The sequence below is a fragment of the Homo sapiens genome, chromosome 5, assembly GCF_000001405.40.
Source record: "Homo sapiens chromosome 5, GRCh38.p14 Primary Assembly".
Taxonomy (NCBI): domain Eukaryota; kingdom Metazoa; phylum Chordata; class Mammalia; order Primates; family Hominidae; genus Homo; species Homo sapiens.
The window spans coordinates 10,081,132-10,094,018 of record NC_000005.10 but is presented as its reverse complement, the minus strand read 5'-3'; the positions used below and the strand labels follow the sequence as shown (position 1 = coordinate 10,094,018).

General features: G+C 40.8%; 1 long non-coding RNA gene across 1 annotated transcript; it reads left to right on the top strand.

Moving 5' to 3' along the window:
* The first annotated feature begins 9,813 nt into the window (after positions 1-9,813).
* LOC124900939 (uncharacterized) lies at positions 9,814-12,444 on the top strand. Its single transcript, XR_007058689.1, has 2 exons — positions 9,814-9,954; positions 10,771-12,444. It is a non-coding gene; the product is annotated as an uncharacterized LOC124900939 (long non-coding RNA).
* The last annotated feature ends 443 nt before the right edge of the window (positions 12,445-12,887 follow it).

Below are 12,887 nucleotides of genomic sequence, written 5' to 3'. Positions count from 1 at the left end.
TGATTTGGGTTGGAGAGTTCTGTAGATGTCTATTAGGTCCTCTGGGCCCAGAGCTGAGTTCAAGTCCTTCTGGGTGGGTGGATTTGTTTACACTGTGAGGGTGAAACCGCCTACTCAAGCCTCAGTAATGGTGGTCCCAGGTCAACTTTAGACTGCTGTGCTGGCAGCGAGAGTTACATTCCAGTTGGTCTTAGCTTGCTGGTCTCTGTGGGGGTGGGACCTGCTGAGTAAGACCACTTGGCTCCTTGGCTTCAGCTTCCTTTCCACAGGAGTGAACAGTTCTGTCTCGCTGGGGTTCCAGGTGCCACTGGGGTGTGAAAAGGAACTCCTGCAGCTAGCTTGGTGTCTGCCCAAATGACCGCCCAGTTTTGTGCTTGAAACCCAGGGCCCTGGTGGTGTAGGCACCTGAGGGAGTCTTCTGGTCTGCTGGTTGCAAAAACTGTGGGAAAAGTGTAGTATCTGGGCTAGATAGCACCGTCCCTCACTGCACAGTCCTTCGTGGCTTCCCTTGGCTAGGGTAGGGAGTTCCCTGACCCCTTGCACTTCCTGGGTGAGGTGACACCCTGCCCTGCGTCTGCTTGCCCTCCATGGGCTGCACCCACTGTCTAACCAGTCCGAATGAGATGAACTGGGTACCTCAGTTGGAAATGCAGAAATCACCCGCCTTCTGCGTTGGTCTCGCTGGGAGCTGCAGACCAGAGCTGTTCCTATTTGGCCATCTTGTGCTGAGTTCTCCCCCTAGCCATTTTCTTATGCTTGCTTCATCTGTTCAGATTTGCTCCCTTTTTAGGAGGCAATTTTAGTCAATAGGACATGTCTAGACAATTAACTACTTCATTGAGAGTTAAACATTTATTACAATACAGTTGTTTTTAGTGTTAGTTGATAGCTTATGATTTTAAAAATTCTCTGCATCTGTCATTGCTATTCCTTTCCAATACTGAATGATATGTATTTGTGCTTTTCCCCTCATGTTTCTTGATTTGCTTTGTTTTGATTTTGTTTATTTTATTGGTATTTTCAAATATCGGAGTTATTTATTAATGTCATTATTTTTCTATCTTTTATTTTATTAATTTATGTTTTACTTCATTATTTTTTAATTCTTGCTTTCTTTATTTTGCTACTGATGACTTTTTTCTAGCTTCTAGAGTCCATTAATATTTCATTGATTTTTATTCCTTTTTTAGTAATAAACACATGTAAAGTTAGAAATTTGTAAGTGCTTAACACTTGATTAATATTATATAAGTAGAGGTTGGAAAACCAAGACTATGGGTCAAATCCAGCCTGCTGCCTGTTTTGATAAATAAAGTTTTATTGGAACACATCTACACCCATTCCTTTATGTGTTGTGTATTGTGTATGTGTACTTCTACATAATCACAGTATGAATTGGGTAGTGTGACAGTTCTTATGGTCCACAAGTCTAAAATATGTACTTCCTTTACTGGAAAAGTTTGCTGATCCCTAACATAAAGCATTTCATAGTTTTTGACATATAATTTTGTGATTATTTTATTTTCTAAATCATCCATAATTAGGACCCAAAAGATATCTAGGAAGGCATTTTCATTTCCTAATGATTTGAATTTTTTTGCTTATAATTTTGTTAATTTCTAGTTTTATTGCATTTAGACAGAATATGGCCTATGTAACTTCAATTTTTTTAGATTTATTAAGATTTTCTTTTTTTCTAAACCCCCTAACATCCTTTAAAAATTTTCTTTTAAGGCCTAAAGGTATGATCAACTTTTGTAAATGTTCCAAGGACGTTGAAAAATGATGCATATTCTTAACAGAAAAAAATGGATATTTGTTGACTTAATTATTTGTTTGAACCATAATTCTTTATTTGCTTATTGTCTAAAGATTAAGAACTCAAGATGAAGCTATCATTGTGATTTTTATCAGTTTCTTCTTGTGCTTTTGTTAGCTTTAGTGGTTTATTTTGATGCTAAGTTACTTAACTTGTAAACATTCATGGGTGCAGACACGATAGAAGCATAGGCTTGAAAAGCACCTGTTAGTGGAGCTTGCTCTTTCATTGCTCTTGGGACTCCTACTGCAGCGGCTGGGTAGGCAAGCACTGGCCAGCAGGCTGGATGATGAGATCCATGTGGCCACATTTCCACCACTGGCCCTGTTGGCCTAGTCATCCAACCACAGTTGCAGAGTCATGGCAGCTGATCACACATGAAGAACGAGCCCAGCTGAGGTGATGACGACTGCCCAGTTGAGCTCAACTCAAATTGCCAACCCATAGAATACTGAGCTAAATAAATGGCTATTGTTTAAGCTACTAAATTTTGGCATGGTTGGTTATACAGCAAAAACCAACAATTTTATTGCAAGGTTTGCCTTTCATTGATATAAATGGACTTTCCTTGTCCAATTATAAATTTTTTCATGTATTCTATTTCAACCATATCATCTCTTTTACTATTTTTTTAATTATAGTTTTCTGTGATGTCTTTGCTCATTGCTTTATTTTTTGGCCTTGATATGTCATTTTGTTTCGGTATGCTGTGGCGAACTGTATTTTCCCCAAATGGCCAAAATTAGCTCCTGTTCCTCATGATTTTTTTACAGTAGGTCCTTGACACTTCTCCTATGCAGAACTGGGTGTATGTTCCCTCCCCCTTAAATGTGGGTGGATTCATGACAACAGCAGAAGACTATGTAATTTCAAGGTTAGGCTATAAAAGGCAATATGGTGTCCACATGGTTCTCTTGGGATGCTTGGTCTTAGAACCTAGCAGTCATACAGTGAGGAAGCCCAAGCAGTCGTATAGAACATTTTGCTCTCCATTAAACATAGTAAGCTTGTTTCAGCCTCAAAGATTTTGTTGCTTCACTGGAATTTTTTTATTCTACATTTTATATGGCTTATTTCCTCAGTGGCTTAAGTTCTCTGCTTAAGAATCATGTCATTGAAAGACACTCTAAGAAACTCCTATCAAAAATATTTTTCCTCCAGGCTTGTCACTCTTGTCTTGTTTCACTTTTTTTTTTTAGCAGTTATCACAAACTGATATTGTATTATTTGTTTATTCGTTTGCCTGTTAATAGATTGTCTCTCCCACCTAGCATATAAACTCCATGAGAACTGAGATTTTACCTGTGTGATCTTACTGAGACAGTTGACATCTCTGCTGCTGTATCCCTGAATACTATTTTTTGAGAAAGAGGTTCCCAATAAATATTTGTTGAATAAGTGAATGCATTTTTACTTACTTATTGGATGACTGGATTATTCCCTCTGTGTATTTGTTTAAATCTGAGAAAATATATAGGTAATCTTTATACTTTTCCTGCATGCCTGAGAGTGTCTTTTTGTTGCTTCTAACTTCAAATGGTTTGGACTTAATATTTTTGGATCATAATTCACTTCTCCTTCCCCATAACCGGATAACATTTCATTTTCCTCTGCCATGAGTGCTATGGGAGATAAATCCAATGCCAGCCTGATTTCACTTTTCATTTGTAGGCGTCATTATTTTTCCCCAAGTAAATGGGTGTAAGACTTTGTCTTTGCCTTTAAATATAAAACTGTCAATCACCTGAATATGTTTAACCCTTATATTTTCTATTGCTGCTGTGATCAATTATCATAAGCTTAGTGGCTTAAAACAATGCAAACTTATTATTTTACAATTCTGGCCATTAGAGTTCAACACAGATCTTCGTGGGTTAAGGTCAAGGTCTTGGAAGGGCTGCATTCCTTTCCAGAGGCTCTAGAGGAGCTGTCTCATTGCTTTTTCCAGCTTCTAGATGCTGCTCACATTCCCTGCTTCATGGCCCCTTCCTCTATCTTCAAAGCCAGAAAAATCAGGCTGAGTTCCTTTTGCTCTCTGCATTTCTCTGATGCTTCTCTCTGGATTTTCCTCTTCTGCCTCCCTCTTCTGCCTCCCTCTTCTGCTTTTAAGGACTTTTGCGATTACATTTGGCCCACCAGGATAATCCAGGTTAATTTCTCTGTTTTGAAGTCAGCTGGGTAGCAACCTTAATTGCATCTGCAACACCAATTCACCTTTGCCATGCGATATAACATATTATATTTTGCACTTTGTTTTGTTCTTTCATTCAATAGATTCCTTTATATGTAGATTTAAGGTAAATCTTATCTCTTTATCTGATATCCTGAGTTTTATAATTTCCCACACCAATCTTCTAAATGACTTATTTGGTTCATCACAGTGTCTAATCTTCTGTTCTTAACTGTGTTGCATTTTAAATTTATTGCAAGTAATTTTAAATCTGAAACCAATATTTCTGATGTAGAATCATTTCATTTGATTAAAGAATGTATCTTTTCCTGTTTTTGAAATATGAATCAGAAATTTAAAAAAAGTTTTTACTTGCCTCATGGAGCTAGTCTGTTTTGTAGGGGAAAATTTGTTTTGATTGCTTTCTAAAGTTGAGTGCATTTTTATTTCTTTGCTCATGCTATTTTTTGTGGTCTATATAAAATACCTTATTAAAATTAAGATAAATTTCTATCAAGATGATATTTGTAGGTGGTTTTAAAAACCAAATCGTACAGATTATGCTCTTCTTCTGCCTCTCCCCTTTACCAGTTTCACTCCTCAGAGGAAAACACTTTAAAATTTTTATTCTGTGACTGCCTCCATGGTAGACAGAATTCTAAGATGGCCCCAGGATTTCCTCTACATGGTGGACATGCCTGTCTAATCCCCTCTCTTTGAGTGTGGGTGGGACTTGCCAATGTGATTGGGATATCACTTTTGTGATGAAGTTACATTATATAGAAAAGGTAAAGGGATTTTGCAGAGGTAATTAAGGTTCCTAATCAGTTGACTTTAAGTTAATTGAAAGAGGTTGTCCTGAGTGGGCCTGACCTAATCAGATGAGCCCTTTCAAACAGGGTCTAGAGGCTCTAGATTTGGTGTGGTGGCTCACGCCTGTAATCCCAGCACTTTGGGGGGCCAAGGAGGGTGGATTGCTTCAGGCCAGAAGTTCAAGACTAGCCTGGCCACCATGGTGAAACCCTGTCTCTACTAAAAATACAAAAATTAGCTGGGCGTGGTGGCACGTGCCTGTAATCCCAGCTACTTGGGGGGCTGAGGCATGAGAGTCACTTGAACCTGGGGGACAGAGGTTGCAGTGAGCCGAGATCATGCCACTGCACTCCAGCCTGGGCAACAGAGTAAGACTCTGTCTCAAAAAAAAAAAAAAAAAAGAAGGTCTAGAGATAAGAGACAGGGGAAGCCAGAGATATTCAAAGCAACAGAGATCCTCTCTACCAGTCTTTAGAAAACAAAATGCCATTTTGTGGAGAGGACCACATGACAGGGAGTGGTGGGTAGTTCCTGGGAGCTGAGGGCCTCAGTTCTACCACTGTAAAAGAACTATATTTTGCCAACAAGAAGTGAATTTGGAAGAAGACCCCAAGTGTCAGATGGGATCACAGGCCTGGCTGACCCCTCGATTTAGCCTGATGTGATCCTGAGTCAAAGAGCCAGTTAACCCATGCCAAGTCCCTGACCATGGAAACTGTGAGGTAGTAAGCACATGTTGCTTTAAGCAGCTAAGTTTGTGGTATTTGTTACACAGCAGTGGGAAACAATTACACCTCCATATTTCTGAATACTATGCTTATGTTGCTATTTATGGAATTACTAATTTTAAGACATCAAATATTTCCACCTTTTCTGAATGGCGGAGTTAGTTCACTTACAATACTTCATCTCCTCTCCCGCTTTCTGCCCAATTAGAGCTCTAACAATGGGCTGACAAGGCTACTTGACTTTATCTTTGCCCCAAGGATGAATCTTAATTGGACTTCATAGCTCAAGGTCTTCTCAGTTTTATCTTTTGCCAATTGGAGATGAGAAACAGTTCCATTTTCTAACCCTGCAAGTCCTGAAATTTATGGCCTCTCTGAACTCTCTTTGAATTCCTCTTGCAAAATGGCCATTTCTTTTGTGAGCTTATTGCTTTCTTACTGCGTCTTGTCAAATGCAGCCATTAGCAAATATCCAATGTTATCCACAGTCTGTTTTCCCATTTCTTTGCTGAAACCAGAAGTTTATTAGTTACATTTTTTGCCTTCTAGTTATCACAGGCAATAGTTTTTTTCAAATGCTTCACCACTACATAAAAAGCCTTTAATATCAATTTTCTTGCCACCTGCTACTCAGCCCTAAATCCTATCATGTGTTTTATTAGTGTTGGCACCTCACTTCCAGTATGTCTTTCAATTGTTCAGCTTCTCTGTGGTAACAAAAAACACCAAAATTTCCATGGCTTATGGTAATAAAGGCTGAGTTCTGCTGAGGTGGCTGTGGCCTGGCCATGGGTCTGCTCCATGGGTCTCTATTCCAGGATTCAGGCTGAAAGAGCAGGCTCTCTCTGAATTAAATTACACGGTGGTTTTATAAAATGGCCCTTAACACTTTTCCTTAAAAAAAAAAAATCACATCACTTCCGCTTACATTTTAATGACCAAAGCAAGTCACATGGTCAAGCTTCTCATCAATGGGTCAGGTGTGTGTGTAATCCTCCTTCCGGTAGGGGCAGTGAGTACCTACCCTGGACACCACAGCCAGCACTAATACCCTGGGAGAAGGTATTTGTAAGTCACACAACCAAGAAAGGATTAGCTTCTATAATATAAAAAGGCAGGAAACCAATAGAACTACAGGCAAAGGACATGAGTAGGAAATTTGCAGGGGGGAAAGCCAAATGCTTGTCAGGATATGGAAAGATGCTCAATCTCATTAGCAATCAGAGACATGCCAATTAAGTCAAGATAATCAACAAACTGTCAGACATTTTGAAGTTGGAAAACATCAGCATTGACTTGAACATGGGGAACTCTTTGTGTCCTGCTGGCGAGAGGTGCGGGTGAGGGCAACTATTCTGGAAAGTAATTTGGGAGGAAAAAGGAAGATGGCATAGACAGTGAAATGATGGAGGTGTCCTGGATTTGAAAGATCTCAGTTTCTGGGATGATTTTCACATCATCTTTCCAGTGGCACTCCTCCCTCCTCATTCAGAACTTGGGTGGGGTTCCATTTACTAGGTCGCTGGACCACAGGGCAAGACCTTGTCTGGTTGCTCTCCACTGTGTCCCCTGCACCTGATACTGTGCTAAGCACAGGGGACACTCAGCATTTGTTTGGTGAATGCCTATTTTAAAAATACATTTGAAGCAGAGTGCCATGCCTCTTTTAGGACACTAAAGTATGGATTTTCCATTGTACAGTTGTATTGTCTGAGTACTTATTTGAGATCCCATTTATCATCTGATAAAAGCTTTCATCATTTAGTTTAATCTGTACTTCTGCACAGTGACTCATACAAGGCCAGAAAGATATCAGACTGCTCAGGTCCCACCTATTGATAATAACTTACCAGAAGAGAAATGTATTTTGGGGAGCTTTCTATTTGAGGTGGAAGGGATCTTTGACAGCACAAAGTCCACCAGGTAGCCTTAAGCAATAGTTTGAAATAGTTGAATGCTTTTTAGGAATGTCGTTCTTTCTGAGCTGATAGGGAGCTTTCAGATCACTTGTTAGTGATCTGACACCTTGTTACTTTGAGCCATGGGCAAATTGCGTGAACATCATCTTCTGAAAGTCTCAAGGCCAGCCTTGGAAAACAGGAGTTAAGTAATTTTAGCATTATCTTAAAATGTAACACCTAGTGTGCCAGGCCCATGATCCAGCATTTCCTTGCTGGATTTGGGAGTCAGTCTTCTCCCTGTGGGAGCAGCACTGATGTCTAGAGTAGCTGCTGTTTCCAAGTAGTCCAGGATGTTCCATTGACTCCATCTCCTCTGAATTCTCAGAGCACTGTGTGCATCCCAGGGTCCCCTAACCAGGTGTGCATCGTGGTCCCTAGGCAGCTCCTGCAGATCCTGATGTATGAGGTTTGGTGCACTTTGGCTTCAGTAATATATATATATACACACACACACACACATATATATGACATATATATGTTTCACGTATATATATATCTCATATATATATATATAAAATATATATAATACACATTTAACAAGCCTCCTAAGTGATTCTCAATTGCACAGGAAATTGAGAACAACTGACGTATAATTATATTGCGTTGTGTTATTCTTAGCTATTGTTTCTTGTGCTTTAGTAAGAAATTTTACACCAGTTTTATAATCTTCTGAGGCAGATAGTATATCTTGATTTTCTTTGTATTCCTCCTAGCCTTTGTGATGGGCCTGTAACAGGCATTCAGCAGATGCCTGTGAACTGATAATTAAAAAGTCTTAAAAGCACTTAGAGTATTTTCCTTTACTGGAAGAAATTCTGCCTTTCTTGTGGGTCCTGGGTCTTTGTTCCTTTGTCAGCTGTTCCTTTTGATTCCTTTTTTGCTACTTCAGGGTTCATGTTCCTAGTCTCCATATTATCTAATGACACCCACAGGTACCAATGGTCTTTCACAGGTATTGCTTGGCTTATTTTAGGTGGGCTTGCGTATTACCTCTTGGGGTAATAAGTATTTGGCCCCGTAGCCAAGGATCTAGGACAGAGATCATCTATTTTTCAAGCTGTCCATTGACCACAGCTCCACTCCTGTATCCTGGAGACAGGCTGAGTAAGGAGAGATAATCAGCTGTGCCAGTGCTGCTTGGATATTCCGTTTCTCCCGTGCTTCAGTTGGCAGCAGGTCAGGCTGTGGTCAGTAACTGTGGTAGGATATGCTGCTCCTTCCCACAACAACCTTCTTGGTTTCTATGCTGGTGGCTGTGCCTTGGGTGCCAGTTTTCCTTCAGGTGTCCCTCGCTAGTCAGGGCATGGACCCCTACAATTTACCAATGAAGGGCACAGCATTTACCCCAGGACAGCCGTTAGCCTTCCCTTACCTGTCTCCAAATTGGGTGCCAGGGAAGGTAGCATTCCAGGCATGTTCTGAGCCCACCCTGAAGGAAAGCAACTCTCTACTCTGCTAACTATGGTTCCATTTAACCCAGCACAAAGCAAGAAGAAGCATACATTTAAGTAGCCTTGGGAAAGGGTTTGTTTACTAAGCTACCCAATATTCAATAAGCCATCTAAGTGACAATTAGTAGAATAAACAGTTTCTCTGGCATAAAGTTAATTTTGCTGTGACCTTTTGTAATAATGATATACCATATGTTTGAGTCCCCTCCCAGATTAAGTCATGACTGGAGAATAACCGATGAGGGTACAGGAAGCAGGTGGATTCAGGAGGAGGAGGACTGTCTGGCCCTAGATTCCGCAGAACATGAAGCCAAGGGAGATGTTAAAAAATTTCTTTTTTTTGGTTGGGAAAGAGATGGGGTGGGTTAGAAGAATGAGTGAAGCATGCTGTCTACCAGAATCTAAAGGGACTGAGCAGAAAGGCAGAATATATTTATAAGGTGTCATATAGAAATTGAGCCTCCAAGGAAGTTAATTTCAGAATGGAGGGTCCACCTGGAAAGACCGCTCAAGATGCAGGAATAGGGCATATGGGTTACAGAGCATGTGGTCTTCCTTATGGCTGGGAGGCAGATTTGCAGTCTTTCGAGTGTATGTATGTGTATATATACACATATATATGTATACATATATGTATGTATATATATGTATACATATATGTATATATGTATGCATATATATACATATATATACGCATTATATATATATATATTTGCAGTTGATCTTCCCAACACGCTAGTAAGATAGTTGGAGTGGGTTGTATTGTCCTGTGCAACTTAGGTTTTGTTGTATAACAATCCATCCTGAGTTATTTATTTTCATGGATGGCTTAGCTGGGTGGCTCTACTGATCTCTGCTGCATTTGCTGATGTGGAATGAGAGTTGACTGGATTTGGCTGGAGAGTCTCAGCTGGGAGACTCATCTTTGCTCTACCTGTCTCTCTTCCTTCTCAGGACTCAGGGAGCTGGACCAGGGTTGTCTTTCCCATGGCAATGGCAGAGGCTCAAGAAAGTAAGTAGAAACCTGCAAGGACTCAGCCTAGGCTGGGAACTGGGGCATTGTTTCTGTTGTATTCTATTGACCGAAATCATGTGGCTGAGCCTAGGGTCAGAGTGGGGGGCATTAGTAAGTTACTTGTTAAAGGGTGAGCATATAAGAGGGGTAAAGAATTGGGTCATCGTTGCATCAACTTTAGCACCTTATTTCACAGGTACAGAAACAAAGCTTAGAGATGAAGTGACTTTCTCAGGATGTACAGCTCCTTGGTGCCCACGCTGGGAGAATAACCCATGTCACCATCTATCTAATGTGTTATTTCCCATTACAAATATGACCCATATGAGAACAGTGGGTTAGTTGTAGTTCTGTTACAGTGCCTGGTGGTATCTGGTGAGCATTTTGAATAAATTCTCTGGAAAATAGATTCGATTTTAAAAAAAAAACCTTGGCTGTCAAAATCTGATTTCTTGGTTGAATAAAATGGCTTTGTTATTCAGATCCTTTGGGTCTAATTTTATTTTACATGAATTTAGTTAAAAAATTGATTACAATTCCCCTTCCATTTGGTGCTGTGGGTGGTATAATTGGAAGTTTAGAAAAGACAGAAATGGCTTTAAATGATTCACGTACCCACCTAAAATTTGCAGAAGGGTAAAAAATATAGGAGACGTCAGGTAAAAGATTTTGCATTAGACTCTTTTTTTAGGTTTAACTATCTTGAGTCTTTCTAACATCAATGCCCAGTGGGCCTTTTTATCAGTTTATGTTGGAAAACAATCTCAAAGGACTCCGTCCACTTGTCATCCTTCTCCCTTTTACAATTGGCAGCACACATGGCTCCGGGAGAACTTGGAGGCTATGCACTATTGTTGCCACACGCCAATCAAGATGAATCCCGCTTGTCTCTCTCCGGCTCTTGCTGTCAGTGATGGAGATATCAATATGTTCAAGTTTCAGTTTGTTGTCAAATGTTTTTCACTCGCTCAAAACCTATTAGCATCTCCACTCTGGAGGAACGCCTTTGAGACTTGGGCCAAATGGTTGGCAGCAAAACATTCTGAGCACCCAGGATGTAACCTGGACCAAGCACTCAATTTTTACGGCTCAAGGATATAAGAAATGCATCTGGAAATTTTGGCTTAAATGTGAACCTTAACCTCACTGGGAATGGACCAGGCTGGGGTAAATGACTGGAGATGAGGACATCTGTACCCCTTGGGTGTTGTGGGTCGAGGCGGCTAGGAAAGGATGGCTCTTTGGGAAAGCGTCATGACAAGGCCGTTGGCTTCTGGACTTTGTGCCTCCATGGTGCACAGGCAAATGGATTCTTTCAGGGGTCAAAGCTCTAGTACCAACAATGGTCAATCATTTGTTGGCACCAGGGGCTTGTGATTCCACTTGTCCCTTTCCACATGGTCCCTTATAGTCCACTGCTGCTCTAGTGCTACCTGGCTATAAATGCCATGGCTGTAAATGCGGAGGAGTGGGGGCGGGGCAGTGTTTTGCACAAGCTTGCGTTTGCAGTTGAATTCTAAGCTTTCCCTTCTCCTGTCCTCACTCCTTATTTTCCATGTTGACTGTCCCATCTCCTGACTGGAAGCTTGAGGTCTGGTGTCTGTTCTTTCCCTTGGGCTTAATGCCCTGCTTTTTTTCCCCACCATGACCTCACCACCTCCTGACCATGACTCTGACTCTTCATCCCCACCTCTGCTGCCTGTGGCTACCTTGAATACTCACCCCCACCTAGACCGGTGGGGGACCCTCCCAATTTAAGGAAGATATTTTCACTGAACCCTAACGTGCTTAGGCCTGGTGAGGGGGAACTGGACATCTCTGGTCTTTCTGGTGTCCACATAGGATTTTCTTCTTACTCTTGAGACATCTGCATCGGCAGAGGCCATCCCAGAGCCTGCAACATAAGCCTTCTTTCCTACCTCTCAGAGCCCTCCCTGGCATTCTTTTTTCTACATACACCCTGTTGCCTGTACCCATGGTCTCCCAAACATCTGTTTCATAGAACTGATCACATGGCACTGTGATTATCTATCTTTACCACTAGATGCAAACTCCTTCAAGTCTTTGATTATAGCTTAATCACAACAGCATCATTTTCTGAATGCTCCTAATGGACTCTGAAGGTTAATTTTCTGTGTCAACTTGACTGGGCCATGGTACCCAGATATGTGATCAAATAAGTCTGGATGTTGCGGTAAAGCTGTTTTTTGGATGCGATTAACGTTTAAATCAGTAGGCCTAGATTAAAGCAGATTGCCCTCCATAATGTGGATGAGCTTCATCCAATCAGCTGAAGATCTTGAGAAAAGACAGACCTCCCAGAGGAGGAGGGAATCTGTCACCAGACTGCCTTCGACTCAAGCTGCAAGATCAGCTCTTTCCTGGGTCTCCAGCCTCCCACCCTATCCTGCAGATGTTGGACTAGCCAGCTCCCACAATTGTATTATCTAGTTCTTTAAAATAAATCTCTCTGTATATATATTTATACACATAGTCTATTGGTTCTGTTTCTCTGCAAACCCTGACTAATATATGGTCAAATCACTATACTAAAAGTAATACATATTATCTCAGTTAACCCTTGGGTGACAGCCTCCTAAAGAGTGTATCATTATTCTCACCTGATAAGTGGATAAACTGAGTCATAGAACAGATTAAGAACTTGCCCAAGGTAGCATAGCTGGTAAGTGGCAGAAATGGGACTTGTACTGGAAATGATTCCTGCTAAAGCGAGTGATCTTAACCCATGACTCCTTCTCCTTGGCATCTCCATGTCTGGTCCAGCACCTGGGTCTAATATTTATAGCAGGCTGGTAAATGTATAAGTGAGTGAATAAAGTCACAGACTTCCTTCTATTTTATTACCTCTTCATCTTATGGAAAATCACTTAAACATTGTACAGGGAGTATATAAGAGCTAAGACTTTTAT